The sequence below is a fragment of the Homo sapiens genome, chromosome 8 (assembly GCF_000001405.40).
Source record: "Homo sapiens chromosome 8, GRCh38.p14 Primary Assembly".
In the NCBI taxonomy this organism is placed as follows: domain Eukaryota; kingdom Metazoa; phylum Chordata; class Mammalia; order Primates; family Hominidae; genus Homo; species Homo sapiens.
In genome coordinates this window covers 80,809,072-80,834,130 of record NC_000008.11, presented here as the reverse complement: position 1 = coordinate 80,834,130, position 25,059 = coordinate 80,809,072, and the positions used below count along the sequence as shown (strand labels likewise).

Below are 25,059 nucleotides of genomic sequence, written 5' to 3'. Positions count from 1 at the left end.
CCTTGACTTCCTGGGCTCTAGTGATCCTCCCACCCCAGCCTCCCGAGTAGCTGGGACCACAGGCATATACCACCGTGCCCAGCTAGTAGGATTTCTGACATTAGAATCATAAGGCTTTTGCTCAAGATAGATAGGACCTCTGACATTAGAATCATAGGCTTCCAGTTAAGAACTGCTTAAACAGATCTTGAATTCCAGTAGAACAGCTGATGTCAACAATCTCCACACTTTGGCCCATTCCAAAACCCCTAAAAACCCTATTCCCAAACTCCTCTGGCAGACAGATTTGAGGTTTCCTCCCATCTCCTTGTTTGGCAGCCCTATGATTAAACCAGTGCAACCTGGTGTCTCGGCATATTGATTTACCATGTACATAGGGCAACAGACCTATTGTGGTTACATCACCACTACCACCAAACCAGTCTGATTTTCATCAGCCACTTCCTCTGTCTTGGTATAGAAAAATAATGTATGTACTTAAGGAAAAAGCAGTCAACAAACTTCATTGGTTTCAGAGGGCTAAGGGAATAATATAATCAATGGGCTAGTAATTGGAAGCAATTGTTTTTAAAGTAGTTCTATTATAGCCATTCATTAGGACTATAGATTTGCCGTCCAACATATTTTTCTGTGTACCTAGCATGAAATTTGAAGAATGTAATTTAAAATAAGGAGTAGAGTTCTGTTGACTGTTTTTGGGTGTCATTTTTTATCAGTTTATTCTAAGGTTCTGGTCTTTCTTTGAACATGATCCTTAGCAGTAATTTTTTTCTCTTTTTTTTGAGACGGAGTCTTGCTCTGTCGCCAGGCTGGAGTGCAGTGGCACAATCTTGGCTTACTGCAACCTCCACCTCCCAGGTTCAAGCGATTCTCCTGCCTCAGCCTCATGAGTAGCTGGGACTACACGTGCACACCACCACGCCCAGCTAATTTGTTTTCGTATTTTTAGTAGAGACGGGGTTTCACCATGTTAGCCAGGATGGCCTTGACCTCTTGACCTCGTGATCCACCCGCCTTGACCTCCCAAAGTGCTGAGACTACAGGCATGAGCCACCGCGCCTGGCCAGCAGTAATATTTTAAATTAATTGAGAGAATCAAATGTTTTTATTATTAATATCAGTTTTGCTTATCTTTTTGTAACATATTTTAAATCTATTGGGTCTGATTTGCACTCCACACAGTGGTTGATGTGTCATTGTCATCAGTCACCAAATAGTAATGTGTCTTATTATGTGTTATGAAAGCAAGTTCTTTAAATCCTGATGTGGAGGGGAATAATCTGAAATAGAAAAAATTTTATAAACTTTTTCAGGTGTGATTTTATGGTTTCCTGGTGAGTGGAAGGGCCTTAAAGAGTTGCTCAGCCAAGTGGTCCTCTTATTAGCCTCCTATTGTTTGCTAAGAGTGATTTTTGCTGTGGCCTAAATTTCATGCCTTTTTTTTTTCTTTAGAATTTCTAAACTACTTTTTTACTATCCAGAAAGCCCCAGAAAGCAAATGGGTTGTTTTCAGATTATTCCTGGAAATGTTGTTAATCTCCGGAGCCAACTCCTCAAATCTGATTTGGTTGAGATGAGTAACTGAGGACAGTTTCCAAGAGTTGAGTGTTGACACATGCTTTTTAGCATTTCATTACTGTAAATCTGTAAGAAAAGTGTGAGGATTAAGGTGGCCCAGAGTGTACTTGAGTGTAGGCAGAAGGAAGGATTGATCAAATAAGTGGGCTGAAGTCAGAGACATTCTCTTTTCTGATGCGCCGTTATGATCTTCCTGTGGAAACCAGATGTTTTTGTATCAAGAAGAAATGATGAGCTTCAGTCCCTGTCTTAGGAAGTTGCATCGAATTTACAAAGGATACCATTTAGAGAAATTCAGGACATAAATAGATACTGTTAACTTCTTGTTAAAAAAAAAATGGCAATTTCCCCAAGTATATCATATTTATATATACACTGTTTATCTTCTTCTAGGAAAACAAAAGCTGTTCATTGGAATGAAAATTCTGAGTTTTATTTGTCCGTTAACTCAGTAATTGGTGGTATTCTCATATAATTGAACATTGAAGCTTTGTTCCCTTGCAAGAAATTATATGGGATAATGTGTATGTCTGTGATACACTATATGAAGAGCTTCTGTGTTGGGTAGGGAGAAAGAATTTGATGGTAGCTATTGTAGTACAATATGACTACAAAGTGCTGATGAGCAATAGAAGTTATAGTGTTCGGAAAGCAAGTTCTTTAAATCAATCCTAATGTGGGGGAAATTAATCTGAACATCAGCATCAGCTCTTCCCTGCCACTTAGGTCTCTCTCCTACAGGAAGCTGTCAGTTTCTTACCTATGTTGTGTTCTCTTCCTGGTCCTTACAAGGAATCCTATAGCTGTGAGAAGCCCTCCCTTCTTTGGTAGATCCCCATTTACCCCAAAAGGTGAGCATCTTCATTTGTTAGTGCTGTGCATACTGATTCTTCTTTCTCTTGCCCTTACCAGCTTTAATGCTGCTGTTGATTTCTGTCCTTCTAACCAGATGTTTTTGTTCTTTCTGGCTGTCTTCTATCATTGAACACTTTTCCTGCTTAGGACCTATAGCATAGAGTGATTTTTCAGATTGTCTCAAGTTTTCCATTAACAAGAATATCAGCTCATATTTATGAATCACATAATTGATACCAGCTTCAAAGAAGCAGCAAGCTAATTTAGACTAGACCTTGCAGATCACCAGGAACAGTTTTGTCACCAGGGCATTGTACAAATTGGGAAAAAAAATAAAAGCACCCTATTTGGACAGATGAAGTATAAAAAGTTGCTCTCCAGGTGCATGGATCAGAAAAATGTCCCTCATCCAAAGTAAGGAAGCCTCGGGATGTGGCTTGAATGGGGACTGAATTTTAGCCTCATTTGACCAGTGTTTAGGGTTTAATACACAACTGCTTGCAGCAGCTTGGGTTGCCATGCCATCTCTGTTTTATTTTGTTTTCTTTGGTTTTGTTTTTAAGATCCATAGACTTGGTGGCTATCTCTTTGCATCACAATTTCCAAATTTTTGTTTCTAGGGGTTCTTAGAAATACACCCTCTAGGCCGGGTGCAGTGGCTCACGCTTGTATTCCCAGCACTTTGGGAGGCTGAGGTGGGCAGATCACGAGGTCAGGAGTTCAAGACCAACCTGGCCAACACAGTGAAACCTTGTCTGTACTATAAATACAAAAAAGCTGGGTGTGGTGGCAGGTGCCTGTAATCCCAGCTACTTGGGAGGCTGAGGCAGGAGAATTGCTTGAACCTGGGAGGCAGAGGGTGCAGTGAGTTGAGATTGTGCCACTGCACTCCAGCCTGGTTGACAGAGCGAGACTCCATCTGAAAAAAAAAAAAAAAAAAAAAAGAAAGAAACACACCCTCTATATCAATAGTTACTCTGGTTTCCCTCCTTCCTTAGTTACTCTGGTTTCCTTCCTTCCTTCCTTCCGTCCATCCTTCCATCCTTCCTTCCTCAGCTCTATTGTGGTATAATTTAAATGCCACAACATTCCTCCCATTGTAAGATACAATTCAATAATTTTAAGTAAACTTACTACTCATACAGATATCACTACAGTCTAGTCCTAGGACATTTCCATCACCCCAAAAAGTTCTCTCATGCCCATTTGCAGTTAGTTCCTGCTCCCACCCCAGCCCCAGGAAATCACTGATCTGCTTTCTATCTCTGTAGATTTGCCTTTTCTGGAAATCTCATATGAATGGAATTATATTTTCCTTTTGCTTCTTTCTTCTGTTAAGCTAATGTAGGTTCCAGTCAGTGCTCATTTGCAATAACTGGATGAGCCTTGTCACCTTCTACTGCTGCTGCCAGTCCTTGCTTATCCCTTCCTTTCCATTCTGCCTCAGTGTACAAACATACTCTTTTACCTCCTGTCTTAAAATTCTCTCTCGTCCATCATCCCCTCCAGCCACCACCCTATTTCTCTGGGCCATTTCCGAGCCCAGCTTCTTAAGACTCGACGTTATATATGCTTTCTACTCTCTCCTCTCCTGTGAGCTCTCATTTTTTGTTTTTTTTGTGTGTCTTAAATATAATAATTGATATGAATAAAAGACATTAAAAAGAACATGTGATACATATATACATGCTTTAAAGCATAGTGATATAATGAGTATCTACATCTGCCATCTGCCCCTTCCGCTAGCATTACAAATGGTGGAACCCATGATTCATAGTGTCCAAAATATTTTACTTATCTTTACAGTTATTTTGGTCCTTTTTGATCATTTTAATTCTACTTTTAAATAAGAAGTCTGGGCTAAATTTTCTTTAAAATCCGTTACATTGCTAAATTTCTCTGATTACTATTGAGAGATTAATTTTTTTACTTAGAAAGTATTATAGAAGATTTATAGCTTGCTTTGTTGTATATTACTATATTTTATTATGAAGCCTTGGCTAAGAGCATGCATGACATACAGTTATAACAGTATTTCTATAGGAAATGTATTCTATTTGCATTAATTTGCTTCAGGTTTTTTTTTCCTAAATTTTTGAAGCTAAAAGCTAGACTTCCTGTAATGTTGTTTCCTTCCTTTAAACTTTGGATAGAATTCATTTAATCAATCCATTTGGCCCCAAGGGAGGCATGGATGTCAATTTTTGTTTCAACTTAATACTGTGAAGACTTAAATATTTAATTAACGTAATACTTGACACTTAGAAGCAATTTATAATCATCAAAACTAGGCCTTTGTTTTCTTTTTTTATCCCTGTTGTTTAGAGTTTTCTTGTTGTAACATAGGTTAGGAATGGACTGGTGGAGAAGTGAAAAACTCTCCCCTCTCCCCCCACCTCCAGGCAGAGAGAGTTACGCAGTGCATTGACTAGTGATGGATGTTTAACATACTTGTCCTTACATCTGTTGATTTTCTAAACACATTTTTATCATTTATTTCATTTGTGGAAGTCTGAAATATTTTATGTCTTTCTATTGCATATTGATGTCATTAAAACAGTGAACACTTAAAAACAGACACTAGATTTTCTTTTATCTTTATTTGATTTCATTAATACAGTCTAAGAAATATTGTGAGTTTTTAATGAGTTACAAGTAAACCAAAGTGGGTGACAATCTTCCTGTGGAGCTGGGTATATGTCTGACAGGAAAACTATGGGAAGAGAATCTTCTTTTCTTCCTGGTAGGAGAGGCCAAGATGAGAATGGAGCTCTGTGTAGTGCTCTATGTGTCATAGGAAAGATCCATGCCAGCCAAGTGGATTCCAAGGCCCAAGTCATCCCTGGACTCTGGAAAGTCTCATGTTGGGGCAGATGCAGTGACTTCAGCATGCATGTATTTCAGTTTTCCTTTAGTCTGAGAATTTCTAGTCGTTAATACCTTCCTTTACCAGTCTCTGCTATTATCAAACACACATATTCTCCTTGTATTCTGAAAATGATTTATGCTTATGGCCTTAGATTCTATAAATCTAAATCTATTTGATTAAAGCCTTTGTGCTTTTTCTCCTACCGAAAATTAAAAAGAAACAAGCATGTATTCTATTTAAATGGGAGAGTGAAGATTTACTGACTTCACAGATGACCCCACTGGAGGAAATGGATTGTATCACAGGCCCATGAAATGTCTCATGATTGTGCATATTTTGAAATACACCCCACTGATTAGTGAGGCTCCAGATTACCAGATAGACTCATCTTTGTACAATAGGACTTTAACTGGTTTTCTCCAGTCCTCATTTACAGTACCAATTACCTTACAGAAACCTTTCTTTAGCTTCAGTCTCCTTTTTCAGTTTCACAAAGTCTGAAGTAACAAGATTCAGTTCATTAAGGTTTAATTTTATATTTGTCTCCCACCATAATCATCATTACATTTTGTTACAAGTGATAGGAAAAATTATTCTGACTTCTTTATCATAGGGCCTTAGAAGGGATTTTGTTAAAATCTTAACTGCTGAGTAGATTGTAAAAATTTTCTCCCATTCTGTAGGTTGCCTGTTCACTCTGATGGTAGTTTCTTTTGCTCTGCAGAAGCTCTTTAGTTTAGTTAGATCCCATTTGTCAATTATGGCTTTTGTTGCCAAAATTTTCTTGCTTTTGGTGTTTTAGTCATGAAGTCCTTGCCCATGCCTATGTCCTGAATCGTATTGCCTAGGTTTTCTTCTAGGGTTTTTATGGTTTTAGGTCTAACATTGAAGTCTTTAATCCATCTTGAAATAATTTTTGTATAAGGTGTAAGGAAGGGATCCAGTTTCAGCTTTCTACATATGGCTAGCCAGTTTTCCCAGCACCATTTACTAAATAGGGAATCCTTTCCCCATTTCTTGCTTTTGTCAGTTTTGTCAAAGATCAGATGGTTGTAGATGTGTGGTATTATTTCTGAGGGCTCTGTTCTGTTCCATTGGTCTATATCTCTGTTTTGGTACCAGCACCATGCTGTTCTGGTTACTGTAGCCTTGTAGTATAGTTTGAAGTCAGGTAGCGTGATGCCTCCAGCCTTGTTCTTTTGGCTTAGGATTGACTTGGCAATGTGGGCTCTTTTTTGGTTCCATATGAACTTTAAAGTAGTTTTTTTCCAATTCTGTGAAGAAAGTCTTGGTAGCTTGATAGGGATGGCATTGAATCTATAAATTACCTTGGGCAGTATGGCCATTTTCATGATATTGATTCTTCCTATCCATGAGCATGGAATATTCTTCCATTTGTTTGTGTCCTCTTCTATTTTGTTGAGCAGTGGTTTGTAACTCTCCTTGAAGAGGTCCTTCACATCCCTTGTAAGTTGGATTCCTAGATATTTTATTCTCTTTGAAGTAATTGTGAATGGGAATTCACTCATGATTTGGCTGTTTGTCTGTTATTGGTGTATAGGAATGCTTGTGATTTTTGCACATTGATTTTGTATCCTGACACTTTCCTGAAGTTGCTTATCAGCTTAAGGAGATTTTGGGCTGAGATGATGGGGTTTTCTAAATATACAATGATGTCATCTGCAAACAGGGACAATTTGGCTTCCTCTTTTCCTAATTGAATGCCCTTTATTTCTTTCTTCTGCCTGATTGCCCTGGCCAGAACTTCCAACACTGTGTTGAATAGGAGTGGAGAGAGAGGGCATCCATGTCTTGTGCCAGTTTGCAAAGGGAATGCTTCCAGTTTTTGCCCACTCAGTATGATATTCGCTGTGGGTTTGTCATAAATAGCTCTTATTATTTTGAGATATGTCCCATCAATACCTAATTTATTGAGAGTTTTTAGCATGAAGGGTTGTTGAATTTTGTTAAAGGCCTTTTCTGCATCTATTGAGATAATCATGTGGTTTTTTTCTTTGGTTCTGTTTATATGATGGATTACATTTATTGATTTGTGTATGTTGAACCAGCCTTGCATCCCAGGGATGAAGCCAACTTGCTTGTGGTGGATAAGCTTTGTGATATGCTGCTGGATTCGGTTTGCCAGTATTTTACTGAGGATTTTTGCATTGATGTTCATCAGGGATATTGGTCTAAAATTCTCCTTTTTTGTTGTGTCTCTGCCCGGCTTTGGTATCAGGATGATGCTGGCCTCATAAAATGAGTTAGGGAGGATTCCCTCTTTTTCTATTGATTGGAATAGTTTCAGAAGGAATGGTACCAGCTCCTCTTTGTACCTCTGGTAGAATTCGCCTGTGAATCCGTCTGTTCCTGGACTTTTTTTGGTTTGTAGGCTATTATTGCGTCAATTTCAGAGCCTGTTATTGGTCTATTCAGGGATTCAACTTCTTCCTGGTTTAGTCTTGGGAGGGTATATGTGTCCAGTTATTTATCCATTTCTTCTAGATTTTCTAGTTTATTTGCATAGAGGTGTTTATAGTATTCTCTGATGGTAGTTTGTATTTCTGTGGGATCGGTGGTGATATCTCCTTTATGATTTTTTATTGTGTCTATTTGATTCTTCTCTCTTTTCTTCTTTGTTAGTCTTGCTAGTGGTCTATCAATTTTGTTGATCTTTTCAAAAAACCACCTCCTGGATTCATTGATTTTTTTGAAGGGTTTTTTGTGTCTCTATTTCTTTCAGTTCTGCTCTGATCTTAGTTATTTCTTGCCTTCTGCTAGCTTTTGGATGTGTTTGCTCTTGCTTCTCTAGTTCTTTTAATTGTGATGTTAGGGTGTCAATTTTAGATCTTTCCTTCTTTCTCTTGTTGGCATTTAGTGCAATAAATTTCCCTCCAGACACTGCTTTAAATGTGTCCCAGAGGTTCTTGTATGTGGTGTCTTTGTTCTCATTGGTTTCAAAGAACATCTTTATTTCTCCCTTCATTTCGTGATGTACCCAGTAGTCATTCAGGAGCAGGGTGTTCAGTTTCCATGTAGTTGAGTGGTTTTGAGTGAGTTTCTTAATCCTGAGTTCTAGTTTGATTGCACTGTGGTCTGAGAGACAGTTTGTTATAATTTCTGTTCTTTTACATTTGCTGAGGAGTGCTTTACTTCCAACTATGTGGTCAATTTCGGAATAAGTGCAGTGTGGTGCTGAGAAGAGTGTATATTCTGTTGATTTGGGGTGGAGAGTTCTGTAGATGTCTATTAGGTCTGCTTGGTGCAGAGCTGAGTTCAATTCCTGAATATCCTTGTTAACTTTCTGTCTTGTTGATCTGTCTAACATTGACAGTGGGGTGTTAAAGTCTCCCATTATTATTGTGTGGGAGTCTAAGTCTCTTTGTAAGTCTCTAAGGACTTGCTTTATGAATCTGGGTGCTCCTGTATTGGGTATATAAATATTTAGGATAGTTAGCTCTTCTTGTTGAATTGATCCCTTTACCATTATGTAATGGCCTTCCTTGTCTCTTTTGTTCTTTGTTGGTTTAAAGTCTGTTTTATCAGAGACTAGGATTGCAACCCCTGCTTTTTTTTTGTTTTCCATTTGCTTGGTAGATCTTCCTCCATCCCTTTATTTTGAGCCTATGTGTGTCTCTGCACGTGAGATGGGTCTCCTGAATACAGCACACTGATGGATCTTGACTCTTTATCCAATTTGCCAGTCTGTGTCCTTTAATTGGAGCATTTAGCCCATTTACATTAAAGGTTAATATTGTTATGTGTGAATTTGATCCTGTCATTATGATGTTAGCTGGTTATTTTGCTCATTAGTTGATGCGGTTTCTTCCTAGCCTCGATGGTCTTTACAATTTGGCATGTTTTTGCAGTGGCTGGTACCAGTTGTTCCTTTCCATGTTTAGTGCTTCCTTCAGGAGCTCTTTTAGGGCAGGCCTGGTGGTGACAAAATCTCTCAGCATTTGTTTGTTTGTAAAGGATTTTATTTCCCCTTCACTTATGAAGCTTAGTTTGGCTGAATATGAAATTCTGGGTTGAAAATTCTTTTCTTTAACAATGTTGGATATTGGCTCCCACTCTCTTCTGGCTTTTAGAGTTTCTGCCGAGAGATACACTGTTAGTCTGATGGGCTTCCCTTTGTGGGTAACCCAACTTTTCTCTCTGGCTGCCCTTAACATTTTTTCCTTCATTTCAGCTTTGGTGAATCTGACAATTATGTGTCTTGGAGTTGCTCTTCTCAAGGAGTATCTTTGTGGCGTTCTCTGTATTTCTTGAATTTGAATGTTGGCCTGCCTTGCTAGGTTGGGGAAGTTCTGGATAATATCCTGCAGTGTGTTTTCCAACTTGGTTCCATTCTCCCCGTCATTTTCGGGTACACCAGTCAGACATAGATTTGGTCTTTTCACATAGTCCCATATTTCTTGGAGGCTTTGTTTGTTTCTTTTTACTCTTTTTTCTCTAAACTTCTCTTCTCACTTCATTTCATTCATTTGAGCTTCAATCACTGATACCCTTTTTTCCACTTGATCAAATCGGCTACTGAAGCTTGTGCATGCGTCACGTAGTTCTCGTGCCATGGTTTTCAGCTCCATCAGGTCATTTAAGGTCTTCTTTACACTGTTTATTCTAGTTAGCCGTTCGTCTAATCTTTTTTCAAGGTTTTTAGCTTCTTTGCAATGGGTTCGAACATCCTCCTTTAGCTCGGAGAAGTTTGTTACTACCAATCATCTGAAGCCTTCTCTCAACTCGTTAAAGTCATTCTCCATCCAGCTTTGTTCTGTTGCTGGCGAGGAGGTGCATTTCTTTGGAGGAGAAGAGGTGCTCTGATTTTTAGAATTTTCAGCTTTTCTGCTCTGGTTTCTCCCCACCTTTGTGGTTTTTATCTACCTTTGGTCTTTGATGATGGTGACGTACAGATGGGGTTTTGGTGTGGATGTCCTTTCTGTTTGTTAGTTTTCCTTCTAACAGTCAGGACTCTCAGCTGCAGGTCTGTTGGAGTTTGCTGGAGGTCCACTTCAGACCCTGTTTGCCTGGGTATCACCAGCGGAGGCTGCAGAACAGCAAATATTACAGAATGGCAAATGTTGCTGCCTGATCCTTCCTCTGGAAGCTTCGTCTCAGAGGGGCACCCAGCTGTATGAGGTTTCAGTCAGCCCCTACTGGGAGGTACCTCCCAGTTAGGCTACTCGGTGGTCAGGGACCCACTTAAGGAGGCAGACTGTACGTTTGCAGATCTCACACTCCGTGCTGGGAGCACCACTACTCTCTTCAAAGCTGTCAGACAGGGACGTGTAAGTCTGCAGAAGTTGCTGCTGCCTTTTGTTCAGCTGTGCCCTACCCCCAGAGGTGGAGTCTACAGAGGCAGGCAGGCTTCCTTGAGCTGCAGTGGGCTCCACCAGGTTCGAGCTTCCCAGCCGTTGTGCTTACCTACTCAAGCCTCAGCAGTGGCTGATGCCCCTCCCCCAGCCTTGCTGCCGCCTTGCAGTTTGATCTCAGACTGCTGTCCTTGCAGTGAGCAAGACTTCGTGGGTGTGGGACCCTCCGAGCCAGGCACGGGATATAGTCTCCTGGTGTGCTGTTTGCTAAGGCCATTGGAAAAGCGCAGTGTTAGGGTGAGAGTGTCCTGATTTTCCAGGTACCATCTGTCACGGCTTCCCTTGGCTAGGAAAGGGAATTCCCTGACCCTTTGCACTTCCCGGATGAGGCGATGCCCCACCCTGCTCTGTGGGCTGCACTCACTGTGTGACAAGCCCCATTGAGATGAACCTGGTACCTCAGTTGGCAATGCAGAAATCCCCTGTCTTCTGCATCACTCAGGCTGGGAGCTGTAGACTGGAGCTGTTCCTATATTTGGCCATTTTGGAACTTCCATCCTGACAATGGGCTAATATCCAGAATCTACAAAGATCTTAAACAAATTTACAAGAAAACATCAAACAACCCCATCAAAAAGTAGGCAAAGGATATGAACAGACACTTCTCAAAAGAAGACATTTGTGCAGCCAACAGACACATGAAAAAATGCTCATCATCACTGGTCATCAGAGAAATGCAAATCGAAACCACAATGAGATACCATCTCACACCAGTTAGAATGGCAATCATTAAAAAGTCAGGAAACAACAGGTGCTGGAGAGGATGTGGAGAAATAGGAACACTTTTACACTGTTGGTGGGACTGTAAACTAGTTCAACCATTGTGGAAGTCAGTGTGGCGATTCCTCAGGGATCTAGAACTAGAAATACCATATGACCCAGCCATCCCATTACTGGGTATATACCCAAAGGATTATAAATCATGCTGCTATAAAGACACATGCACACATATGTTTATTTTGGCATGATTCACAATAGCAAAGAGTTGGAACCAACCCAAATGTCCCATCAATGATAGACTGGATTAAGAAACTGTGGCACATATACACCATGGAATACTATGCAGCCATAAAAAAGGATGAGTTCATCACATGTTCTCACTCATAGGTGCGAATTAAACAATGAGAACACTTGGACACAGGGTGGGGAACATCATACACCGGGGCCTGTCATGGGTTGGGGGCGGGGGGGAAGGGATAGCATTAGGAGATATACCTAATGTAAATGATGAGTTAACGGGTGCAGCACACCAACATGGCACATGTATACATATGTAACAAACCTGCACGTTGTGCACATTTACCCTAGAACTTAAAGTATAATTAAAAAATTAAAATAAATTAATAAAAAAATCTTAACTGTTGGGGATGAAGGATAAGAAATAATTCTTCATGAACTACAGAGTGTGGTTAAGACCAGTATTATTAGCCAAAAAGAAAGTTAGATTTTATACATTAGCTCTCTTCTATTAAACATGATAATCAGACTGAAATATTGAAGAGTTTACTTGAATTTTCTTAGTTGTGGGGGATAAAACAATGATGTTTTACATTTTAAAAAATTAGAGGTATTACACTTTTCAAATCTTTGTTTTTGTATACCTGGGAGGCATTTTTTTGTGTGTTTGTGATGTTTCTTATTTGCATTATTACAGATGCATTGATTGTATATTATTTTGTGAAGTTATTTTATTTCTATGTTGCATTTTTCTTATTAAAATTATACAATCTTTCAGATGAACAGGAAGGACAGTGTCTGTAATCTCTCCTCACCGCCATCTGCAGTAGTCGTACAAAGGTGATGTTTTATGTGAGTAAGAATTTCTGTGTTTCATTTCACAGGTGGGGAGCATTAAGCGGGAAATGACCTTCACATTTCAGTCAGAGGACTTAAAACGTGACTGTGGTAAAAAAATGTCTCATCAACACGTGTTTTCCTTGGCCATGGAGGAAGATGTGAAAACAGCAGACACCAAAAAAGCCAGCCGGATCCTTGACCATGAAAAAGAAAACACTCGCTCCATCTGTCTCCTTGAGCAAAAAAGAAAAGTTGTTTCCTCCAACATTGATGTTCCTCCAGCAAGGTAAGGGAACATTAAATCTCACATGTGTCTGCCCCAGGAAGTTGGTGGAGAGCATGCATAATCTCTGCCAGTGTACAGACTCTCTTCAGTATATAGACATATGAAAGGTTTTCTGCCAAGAAATTTTTTCTATTGCTTGTGTGAAATAGAGCAGGTGGCCTTACTCTTCATAACTGACTTTGAGGCTGCTGTAGTTGGAACTATTGTAGCTCTAGAAAAGAAATGTTTTATTCAATTTTAATAAATGAATAATAAAGAGCAAAGGAATAAATGCAAAAAATTAGGATGAAACATCATATAGAGGACTGAGCATACATTAAGTAGGACTGTAGCCACTTCAAAGCAAGTGTACACAGATCTTTGGTCAGAGGTTGGTAAACTATGGCTGCAGGCCAAATTCAGCCCCTGATCTGTTTTTCTGTGGCCTGTAACATAAGAATGGTTTTACTTTTTTTTTTTTTCCAAATAGAGATAGGGTCTGGTTCTGTCGCTCAAGCTGGAGTGCAGTGACGCAAAGGTAGCTCACTGCGGCCTTGAACTTCTGGGCACAAGCAGTCCTCCTGCCTCAGGCTCTAGAGTAGCTGGCTGGGACTACAGGCATATGCAGCCATGCCCAGCTAATTATTTTTATTTTTTGTAGAGATGGTGTCTCACTGTGTTACCCAGGCAGGTCTCAAACTCCTGAGCTCAAGCGATTCTCCCACCTTCAGCCTCCCAAAGTCCTGAGATTACAGGCATGAGTTACTGTGCCTGGCCTGCCTTTTTAACGGCTTAAAAGAAATGAAGAATAGGCGACACAGAGCACAGGTGGTCTGTAAAGTCTAAAATATGTAAAAGAAAAAAAAAGAAAAAAGTTGGTGATGCCTGGTTTATATCTTGATAATCTTTGTATGATAGATCTACTTTAAAACTCAACCAAGAGGGTTTATCTGAAATATCAAAAAGCCTTTGTCTTTCTAAAAACAAGTAAAAAAAAAGGCCTTTGTCACATTATAATTTTATTTAAACCACACCCAATAGCACTGAACCAAAGGACAATATTCTGGCAGAATGACAGTGGCAGTGGTGGCACATACATATTAGACCTTTTACTTTCTTGCATATCATTTGTCTCACCTAGAAAACAAGCTCCACGTCAGCAGGGATTTTAGATTACTCTGTTCATGCTTTATCCCTAGCCCTGGAACAGTGCTTAATTATGTTCTGGGGACTCATGAATATTTGTCAGATGAAAAAAAGAAAGAAAATGCTGTAGCATGAGAGATTGCTTATTTGTAATATGGGTGCCACATTTTGTTGCCAAAAATCATTTATAATGGAACTTAGAGCTTATAGCAATTGTTTGAGAAGTCCTGCATTTGTCCAAGTGGTTTCTAACAGTTAACCAGGAAAACAGTACCTTTGGAAGAGGAATAAATGTGCCTTTCCTGCCTGTTCACGTTTTGTAATTAACGTTTCATTTCTTTCTATATTAAATCAAAAGTATCTTCTCTAGAAAATTATTATTTTCTCCCATTGCCAGATTTGTCAGACTTTCTAAAATTATAGGCCTCTTAGTTTTCTTTAACCTTTAATTGAAAATTTTCACGTATTCATTACTTCTGTTTAACTACTTGGAATTATTTGCTTTTCTAATGTTTTTCGTATAAATACATGTTAAGTTATTTAGGATTATTTCCTTCTACTGTGGCATGGTTGTGAAACATTTTATCATACCCTGACCCTCATAGGCATCTCAATTTGTATTTGTTGTTTGGTTGTCTCATAGGAAACTGACATGTTAACAATTTGAAATGTGAAGAACTGTGCTTTTTTTTTTTTTTCCTAAGTCTGTAGGGCAAAAGTTAGACTTCTAGTGTCAGTTTAATACCAACTTGCAATTCTATAGGACTTATTCTACATAAAATTTCCATTAGACCATTGTATATGTTAAAAGACCTGGAATTAATCATTTTAAATTGCCATAGGTTGTTTTAAGTATACCTTTATTCTTTAATTCCACCTCACTTGGAGCACTTGCTGGGGAAAATAATGAAAAGAGGAAGAAGAAAGATGTTTTCTGCCTTTTCTGACTCTGGTATGTAGGATATTTTCCACCTTTTATGGTTCACTGAATGTACTTAAAAGTACATGATCCCACGCCAGTGTTATTGTGAGGTTCTTAAACAGTGTGGGAAAGTTAATTAGGTTTTAAATCCATTAATGCACAGCAAAAATCCCCCAATGACAAGATATAATTTAGATGTATTAATCTATTATGGGAAATACTACTTAAGGCTTCATTGTTTGGGGTATCTACTAATATACTTGTTTTCATTGCTATAGTAGGAATTTAATCATCATAAATACAGTGTGCCAGCAGTTGGTGAGATAAGTTGCTTTTAAAAAAAATGATGATGAGGGAATCAAGCATTGTGGATTATAATGATCAAACTCTCAAACTCTATTTCCATTTACTGCTACCAAGTTTAATAAATGTCGGACTTCCCACTGTCACCTAAGTATATCAATATTTTGTTTTAAAGAAACTTCTTTACCTGATACAGTAGGAAGATGTAGGATTTTCCTTTTGTTTACTAAGAAGAAATATATCTGTTGACAGGTATAAATAATGAACTTTGAGTAAATCTAGAGTATAGTGAAATTTATCAATACAAGGAAATCTATATACAATTGGCCCTGTGTATCCATGGGTTCTGCACCTGTGGGTTCAACCAACCACTGACTGAAAATATCTGGAAAAAAATTGTCTATACCAAACATGTACAGATACATTTTCTTGTCTTTATTTCCTAAACAATACAGTATAACAACTATTTACATAGTGTTTACATTGTATTAGATATTATAAGTAATCCAGAGCTGCTTTAAAGTATACCAGAGGATGTGCTAGGTTATATTTAAATACTATGGCATTTTATATAAGAGACTTGAGCATCTGCTGATTTTGTGTCTATAGGGAGGCCTGGAACCAACCCCCATGGGTACTGAGGAATATCTGTATCCATATCTTATAAAATATATAATAAATGTTTAAAAATATATATATGATATTTTGGCCAAAAAGCAGGATAATCATTTTAGGCCCATAGAATGCAGAGTTCTTCAATCATTTAAAATCAGTTCCCTGTAACGTTTCTCACTTTATCTTTTGCTTATTCTCATTAAAGCTAAGATTTTTGTTGAACTTTACTTTCTCTGGTTTGTAAAATGAAACTCAAAGTTTATTTTCTGAGGTTTATATAATAAAAGCAATACATGTATTTCAATCGCTTATTTCATGTAACTAGAGAGATCTGGGAACCCCTTCCCACCTTACTCTCTACCTCACTGTAGTTTCAGATCTCCTGCCTCCATTCAACAGGTTTTTCTTGAGTACCTGCTACAAACCCAGTACTCAGTAAAAATGATGAGTGAGGTGCCAGCCTTCCTGGAGGTTACGGTGGAATGAGAGGGACAGACACATATGTAGCTAATTTTAAATAACAGTTCCTGATTTGCTCCCTTCCCATTAGGACTGGGGGTAAATTTGTAATTAAAGGAAAATCTTTTAGTTTTAAGGAAGTTATTAATTTGAAACATCTATTTAAAAGCCCAATTTTTTTATTGATATCTTTTTCAAGATAGGGACAATTGAAATAGAGAAGGAAGAGCTCAGTATCAATACAAACTCCCTGTTTGTTTACCCAATATTTGAGAACCAATTTTAAAGTTGCTAGTTTCAGAAAAATATAAATTTAAGTAAGTTATTAATCCAGATGTGTTAGGCTGGGTCATTGGAGAAGCAAATGCCAAGACAGGATTAAACATGCAAACGTTTTAGTAAGAGAAACACCTGAGAGAGAAATGGGACAGGAGGGGCAAGGACAGGAGGGAGATGCATGTCAGTTTAGGGTGCTAGTCTGAGCGCAGTGATGGAGAGAGGGCAGGAAAGTTGGAGGGAAGTGTCCCAGGTAGCTGGGCAAGGCCCTCAGGAGTCCTGCATTGGTAATCCTGCTGTACTCCATCATTTGCTGGGAGCAGCATGTGGGAGCTGTGGCCTTGGCGCAAATGCAGCAGATGGTTTCAGCGGCCAGCAGCTGGGCCCTTCCTTGGTCAGTTAGCTCCCTGTTATTGGAGATCTGTAAGGTGCGTACTCATGGTTGCCTTCCTCCCACCCCACAATATTGTACTTTATATATTAAAAGTGCCCTAGGCTGTGCGGGCTTGAGACAGGGGCCAGTCTCCCTGCCCTTTGAGTTACCAGTGCAGACTACCTGGAATCTTCATTGTTTAAGAGGGCCCTAAGCTTCCTGTGAAAAAATGGCAACTGATTGTTTGGCCCTAGGATCCTAAAATTAATTCTTTAATTAATTAATTGAGTCATGAGAGGACAGAATACAAACTACCTCTCTTCTGAGTTTCTTGGGGTTGGTAGGAACAATCTTTACTGTAGGAGAGTCTGCTTACCCCTGGGATATTGCTTGATTGATTTCAAGGGAAAAGCACTACTTTCTTTTTTGAGCGTGATTTGGAGTAAGTGCATTATAGAGTTGGGTACCCAAAGTATTCTTCAAATTATTCAACTTTCCTCAGGAGAGATAACTACACAGAAAGAGAGGGCAAGAGTATGTGAGAGCACATGAGCAAGCACTGTTTCTCTTTAGAATTAAAGATTTATCATTAACAGAAAGAAAATTAATTCCTAGCTTTTAGGATCATTGGAGAGCAGTAATTGGGTTGGGGGTAACAAGTACTAAAAGTGTCGATGCTAATTGTTGGGATAGCAATCACTCAAGGGCTGATCTCTCTCTGAGAGAGATGAAAATACTAGTTTCATTGATCCCTATGGAGAGTTGAGGAAAATAGGCTTCAAGAGTTTAAGGACAGGAAAAGAGAGCATGTTTGAAAGGTTCATCCATGTGATAGCATGTGTCAGTACTTCATTCATTTGCCAAAATATTTTATTTCATAGACATACCACATTTTGTTTATCCACTCATCAGTTAATAGACATTCGAGTTTGGAAAAGAAGGCTGGCCAGATCATGTTGAGCTATACTGATTGTGTGAAGGATGTTTAAATTCCATTTTTATGTCACTGAGAAGGATTTTGTGGAAGAGAATATGGTTTCATTCATCTCAGTGGAAGATCACTTTAGGTGTTATGTGTAGAATGGATCAGAGGAGGACAAGAATCGACAAAGGAAGACCAATCAGGAAGCCACCACATTAGTACAGGAAAGAAATTATGGTAGTTTAGACAAGAGTGACAGTTGAGATCAAGAGAAGTGTACAGACCAGACCTTGAGGTAGAAGTGAGGCTTCTTGGTTGTAAGAACAGACAGTGACTCTGGCTGATTTAACAAAGAGTGAAATTTTTTGAAAGACCATCAAGGTAGCTCACAGAGTTGCTGGGAAGGCTGGGGAACCAGGTCAGAAAATGGACAGGAGGGTGAACAGCTAGAAACATAGTTATGTTCATTCACTCTACAGAACCAGTGCTTGCAACTGGGCTTTTTGGCTTCTAAAGTGAGAGACATCTGTGCTAGGAAGTTCTCCAGACACAGAAGCAAATTCAGCCATGAGGCTTCCAAAAAATTGACAAATGTCTATTATCATTAGATTTCTTAACTTCCATTTTGCAAATGAGTAAACAGATTCAGAAAGTTAAGTGACTCACCCAGAAACACATATTTCACCAATGACAGACCTAAGACTGGGATAGGTTTCTGATCTCAAGTGAATTTTTGTTCCTTATCATCACCATTTGTGTTTATTGGAGACCATTAACTTATTGTCATTTACAAATGTAATGCTCAAAATATATTGATAAGTCAATTATTACTTATTGTCCAGCCTCTAAAATAATTCAACAGTTAAGCATTGTTAGATAACCTAGATCATTAGAGCCTGACATTTGTTATTCTGTTTTTGCCAGACATCATGGTTTTGAAGGTACTGATGCTTAAATTCGTTGGATTTCACCCAAACATCAATTACAATTTGATTATGCAAAGTAGTAACTGTCTTCTAATTATAACTCTAAAGCTAGAGAAATGTATTAGCAAACCAGTTATAACAAAGAAAAAAGGAAAATTTGGCCAGAAGTATTCTTAGACCTAACAGCAGTTTATTAGAATAGTACAGATTGTTAGTTTGTGGTTGGAAGAAAACAAACCATATGGTACTATTTGTTTTTCAGGGTTTTAAAATACAGTGATGTCATATTTATCACTTGCTGAATAAAATGAAATCATCTTCTCCTTATAGCGTGCCATTCTGGGAATTATATAGTTTAAAAGAACTTCAGAAACACATTGACCTTTGAGTTCAAAGTTAGGAAATGATCTGAGCTACAAGCAAAATCCTATAAATACGATGGGAAACTGTGAACTAATTTGGCTCCCATTTTCAATGGTAGTGTCTACATTTTCTCCTTTCTTTTATGTACTTTAGACAGTTTATCGGAAAGTCGCCCATGTCAAATTTGTAATTAAGTGAGATAAGACAAAAATGGTATCTTTTATTTTTGAATCTCTAGAAGCCTAGCAGTTCCTGGAACAAATGTTTAATGTTTAAATGTGTTAAAAACTTTTCAGGTCACAAACTCTGTAACCAGTATGAGACTACTGAAAAAAAGAAAAAAGGTCACTTTACCATTTTAAAATATTTCTTTTTAAAAAATAGAGCATTGAAATTTTAGAACATTTCTTTTTAAAAAATAGATTTTGAGGGGAATATAAATGTACTCACTCATGTTAGAGAAATACTGGTACTGTATAATTGGTGGACTCCCCTTAAGAACTGAAGCAATACCCATAAAGTAGCTATAAAGAACATCTTTTCCAAGAAACTTTTATCCATTTATCTCTTCCCATCATTTCAGTAATTCAGGGCAGCAAATAACTGTTGTCTCTGGTTTCTTGCTACAGTCTATTTGCTACACATTTGCCAAAATGTTCTTTCTAAAACTCAAGTATAGTCATGGAGATGGGGGATGCAGACAGGGAAATGGTAGGAACCAGTATAATTGACATTATGACTTAATGCAGCACATTGTGCCATCAGTACACAGTCAAGCCCCATCTTGCTGAGGATTTAGATTCTCACATCAACACACAAATCAAATACAGACAAAATTGTTCTTTTTAATGTCCTCCGTTACCTGTAAGAACAGAACTCAGTTTGAAAGACTTGGGATCTGAAACCACTTGAAAAAGAAGCAATTCTGTCTCCCTTCTTACTCTGGGGCAAAATTTCATTGAATGGAACGGTGGAATGGTAGGTTTTTGTTTGTTGTTTTTAAAAATAGCCCTCTCTTCCTGCCAAGTGCCTGTAGATGAATTTCTGTAATCTAAATGCACATATGCTGCCACTTCACTCTCCTAATGTTCTATAAAAATGGGAAGGAAGGTAGTAAGGTAAGATGAGAACTTTTTCCAGCAGTTCTCTTTCTTGTACTAACCCTAGTAACATTGATGTTATCTCAATTTTCTTTTCTTTTCTTTTTTTTTGAGACAGAGTCTTGCTCTATTGCCCAGGCTGGAGTGCAGTGGCACCATCTCTGCTCACTGCAAGCTCTGCCTTCTGGGTTCACGCCATTCTTCTGCTTCAGCCTCCTGAGTAGCTGGGACTACAGGCGCCCACCACCACGCCTGGCTAATTTTTTTGTATTTTTAGTAGAGACGGGGTTTCACCGTGTTAAGACAGCATGGTCTCGATCTCCTGACCTCATGATCTGCCCGCCTCGGCCTCCCAAAGTGCTGGGATTACAGGCATGAGCCACCGCGCCCGGCCTCTCAATTTTCTTAATTATAGCTTAGGCAAGCTTGTTTTATGACACAAATTTGGCCCATGTAGTATGTGTGTGTATGTATGTGTGTGTTTTAAAGAGAATTTAGTACTCTTCTTCTTTTGGTTGATGTTAAAAATGACATTCAAAATTCATAATTTTTTGTGTACTATAAGTTCTTTATTATAAGCACACATTAGTGCTAGATTATAATGTGTCACCTGTTTAGAATGGCATTGTGAATTTAGAATTCTGATCATAAATATGAATTTTTAAAATAATAATTTATGTCACTGCCATTAATGAAGGTTATGCTCTCTGTATCAACAAAGCTTGGGCATTTTCAAGTATCACTTCCAAAGAGTCCTTGGATAATTAGTAAATGTCCTTCTTTGTAAATCATCATTGGCAGCAAAATGGAGAAAAGTTAAAACTGAAACTTCAGGTGGACCGGTAGCACTGTCGTACAAGGTGGACCATTGGCTTTGTTGCACAGATTGGATATATGAGAATGTTCTAAAATGTTTAGGAGTACCATTATACCACTTTTGTGATGCCCGTGCCGTAGGTTGCCTCTGCAGAATTGGTTTACATTTAGATGTGATGCAGCATCTTTTTTCCTCCCTATATCCACTCAAAATGTAAATAATCAAGAAATAGAAATAATGAGATTCTTAAAACTCTTCATCTCCCCTTGTCATTATAGATTCTGTACTCTGCTTTTATTATAGAAAGGCAAGTAATAACCAAGATATTGGTCATTTGTTTATCTAAAAAGGATAACATTCAAGCAAAACTGTCCAATAGAAATTTAATGTGAACTATATCTATAGTATAAAAATTTATGGTATAATAGCTACATTAAAAATAGGAAAAAGAGACAGTGATTGAGGTACATTGAACTCCATAGAGACAGTGCCAGAGAAAATGAGAGCCAGAAGGGCACTGGGTGACTCTTGCCTTGCTGAGGAAAAATAACTAAACAGGAGCAAAGGAGATCCTAAGAAGCCTAGAGGCAAAATCCTAAGACGCCAAGAGGCAAAAAGTCATTGTATGCATTCTTTGCGCAAACTTGTTGGGAGAAAAGGAAGCAGCGCCCAGATGCTCCCATCAACTTCTCAGAGTTTTCTAAGAGACATGCACCCAGGAGACCTCTTTCGACCTTTCTTCTGTTCCGTTCTAAGTTTCACCCTAAAATCAAAGTAGAACATGCTGGCCTATCCATTGATGATGTTGCGAAAAAACTGGGAGAGATGTGGTATGACACTGCTGCAGATGACAAGCAGCCTTAAGAAAAGAAGGCTGCAAAGCTGCAGAAAAAATACCCAAAGAATATTGCTGCATTTCAAACTAAAAGGAAAGCCTGATGCTTTCAAAAAAGGGAGTCATCAAGGCCAAAAAAAAGCAAGAAAATAAAGAGGAGGAAGATAAAGAGGAGGAGGAGGAAGATGAAGAAGACAATTATGATGGATAAATTGGTTCTATTGCAGTTTTTTTCTTGTCTATAAAGCAGCTGTCCCCGGCCTTTTTGGCACCAGGGACCAGTTTCATGGCAGACAGTTTTTCCATGGTGGGTGGGGTATGGTTTCAGGATGATTCAAGTGCATTACATTTATCATTTGATTATTATAAGGAGTGTGCAAACTAGACACCTCACATGCGCAGTTCACAATAGGGTTCACGTGCCTTTGAGAATCTAATGCCACCACTGATCTGACAGGAGGCAGAACTCAGGTGGTAATGCTTACTTGCCCACTGCAGCTCACCTTCTGCTTTGCAGCCCAGTTCCTAACAGGCCATAGACTCTTGGGTTGGGGGTGACTGAGGACCCCTGCTATAAAGCATTAAGCCCCTTGTACACAATTCACTCCTTTTAAAGAAAAAAATTGAAATGTAAGGCTGCGTAAGATTTGTTTTTAAACTGTACAGTGCCTTTTTTTGTATAGTTAACACACTACCACATATGTCTTTAGATAGCCCTGTCCTAGTGGTATTTTCGATAGCCACTAACTGTGCCTGGTACAGTATGAGGGTTATAAATTGGCATGGAAATTTAAAGCAGGTTCTTTTTGGTGCACAGCACAAATGAGTTATATATGGGGATGGTAGTTATTTCATCTTCAGTTATCTCTGCTGCAGGTTATATGAAATAATTGTTTTGTCAACTGAATACCATTCTAGTCACCAAAAAAAAAGGTATAGCTCTTTTGTTGACATTCTGAATGCTTCTAAGTAAATACAATTTTTATTAAAAAATAGGAAAAAGAAACAGGCAAAAATAATTTTAATAACTCATATTATTTAACCCAATGTATCTTAAATATCATTATTTGAACATATGTCAATATAAAAAGTCATTAATGAGACACTTTCCATTCTTTTTTTTTGCATGCTCAATCTTAAAAATCTGCTGTATATTTTATAGCACATCTCAGTTTGGACAAGGCACATTTCAAGTGATCTATAGCCACACATGGCTAGTGATGACTGTATTGAACAGTGCAGCTTTAGAATAAAGCATAAGTTAATTTTGCATTTCAGTCCAACATCTCATTTATCCCAAAGGCAGTGGTTGGTCTCTTGCTCTCCCTCTTTTCCTACTCTAACACACAGGAAGAAAATGCCTCACTCACACTGCTAGGGGTGGAACATAGCTTTCTATGGCAGTGTTTGTTGAGGGTTGGGGTGGCGGGGAGGAGCATCCACGGTAAGGAGGGAAGCGTTTCATCAACTGTGGGCCAGGCAGTATTTAGCTGGACTAGTTGGAACTAAATAGATTAGTTAGAAATCTGCAGCATGATTCCTGTATGTCCCCTGAAGGGAAATGACTCCCAGTTGTGCATAACTGATGTTTAGTACAATTATAATTATTGTGAAGATGTTTAAATTCCATCTAAATCAAAGGAAGGTTAAATGGGTATTACCACAGTTCTGGTCCTTTAAAAACAAAGCAGGCTTCATTTCCAGAGTTTGAGAGAGCCTCTTTAGTTGTTACCAGATACTCTGACATTCCTCATGGTAGCTACTATTAGAGCAGTTCAAACATACCAAGTAAACATACTGTAGGCTTGGACCACAGTTATCACACTGAATGCATTTGTTCATACTTTTTTAATATTGTTAAAAAAAAGCTCATTAATACATACTGCTTATAAACTAGGAAGTGCAACAAATATGTCAAATATGTATTTTAAAGACTTCTAAGTACAAAGGATTTATTTTGTTACTTGCTTAAACTGTTATTGATTCTCCTTTTAAATGTTAACCTTTTTTCTCTCTCCTATAAATAGAGTTCTGGGTGGAGAAATGATAAGGGATAAAGCTGGAGAGTCAGGCTTAACTTGGAATACTTTTAGAATTTGATTTTTATCTGTTAGGTGATGGAGAGCTGTTCAGGTGATACCGTAAGATTGGCATTTCAAAAATGTCACCTGGTACCCTGTGGGCATGAGGAGCTAGGGAGTGTATACAAGTGTTGACACTGAAAGCAGAAAGAATAATTAAGAGGCAGATGTAGAAATCTGAAAGAAGTAATTGTGAAACCTTTGGCCAGTACAAAAGCAACAGAGAAGAGGGCTGTGTTCAAGAGGCCATGGTGAGGATAAAGCTGGTAGGGAGCATAGTAAGGATGAAGGGTACTCAGGATGGTGTCACAAATGCTGGCTTGGGCAGCTGCATGGAAAAAATGGTTGGTGATGCCAATAAAAAAAATAAGAATTCAGGAGTAATACAAAAGAAAGTAGATATGAGTGGAGGGAAATCAGAAGTTTGTTCTAAGACATCTTGAATTTAAGATCCCTTTAACAAAGACCTGCATACTTTGAGCAAAAATCAAATGAACAATAAATATATTTGTAAAGAATGGTATGTAGACTTAGTCAAACCATAGTCGTGTTGTAAATAAATGTACTAGAAGTGCTTGCTATTTTATCGTATTTTGTTTTAATATATGTAACTACTTCTCTACATCTTGATTTTCATACACTGGCATTTCTCAAGGCGAGCTTTGCTTGTACAGCTTAATTCCTAAATGATGAAAAGCTTTTGTTGCTCTCTCCTGCTAAGGGTTTGTTTTGGCTGGATTTGGCAAACACTCACTTCTTCAAGGAAGCTCACGAACTCTGCTTTCTTAACCCCCAAAATAGTATTCATCTCATAATAGATTTGCGTAACGTTGCTGCCCTTTTCTAAGAGTAACATCTTACAAGGTCATCTGCTATTTTTGCATCCAATTTGCTATCACATATTTTTTTAAAGTGAAGTGTGGCTTTTGTCTGCAGGATGTGAGAGTTTTGTTTTGTTTTTGAAATGAAGTCTCACTCACTTTTGTTGCCCAGGCTGGAGTGCAGTGGCACGATCTCAGCTTACTTCAACCTCCACTTCCCAGGTTCAAGCGATTCTCCTGCTTCAGCCTCCTGAGTAGCTGGGACTGCAGGTGTATGCCACCACGCCTGGCTAACTTTTGTGTTTGTAGTAGGACAGGGTTTCACCGTGTTGGCCAAGTTGGTCTAGAACTCCTGACCTCAAGT

General features: G+C 38.5%; 1 protein-coding gene and 1 pseudogene across 4 annotated transcripts in view, besides 1 other annotated feature; both read left to right on the top strand.

The window, feature by feature from the left end:
- ZNF704 (zinc finger protein 704) overlaps nt 1-25,059 on the top strand; it is a 255,969-nt gene that overhangs the window by 50,289 nt on the left and 180,621 nt on the right. For all 4 annotated transcript variants that reach the window (XR_928797.3, XM_017013725.2, NM_001033723.3 and 1 more), the window contains exon 2: nt 12,516-12,757. Coding sequence is in view for 3 of the 4 variants with exons in the window: in XM_017013725.2 (XP_016869214.1) it covers nt 12,516-12,757 (242 nt within the window). In the remaining variant the exon portion in view is untranslated. The remainder of the gene's footprint in view (nt 1-12,515; nt 12,758-25,059) is intronic.
- Nucleotides 10,191-11,390: an enhancer, noted in NCBI's record as "BRD4-independent group 4 enhancer chr8:81734976-81736175 (GRCh37/hg19 assembly coordinates)". NCBI's record gives its function as "activates an origin of replication core promoter dependent on BRD2, P300/CBP, MED14 and CDK7 cofactors, and independent of BRD4, by STARR-seq in HCT116 cells {active_cell/tissue: HCT116}" and the evidence as "EXISTENCE:reporter gene assay evidence [ECO:0000049][PMID:35650434]".
- Nucleotides 21,669-22,051, top strand: HMGB1P41 (high mobility group box 1 pseudogene 41; annotated as a pseudogene).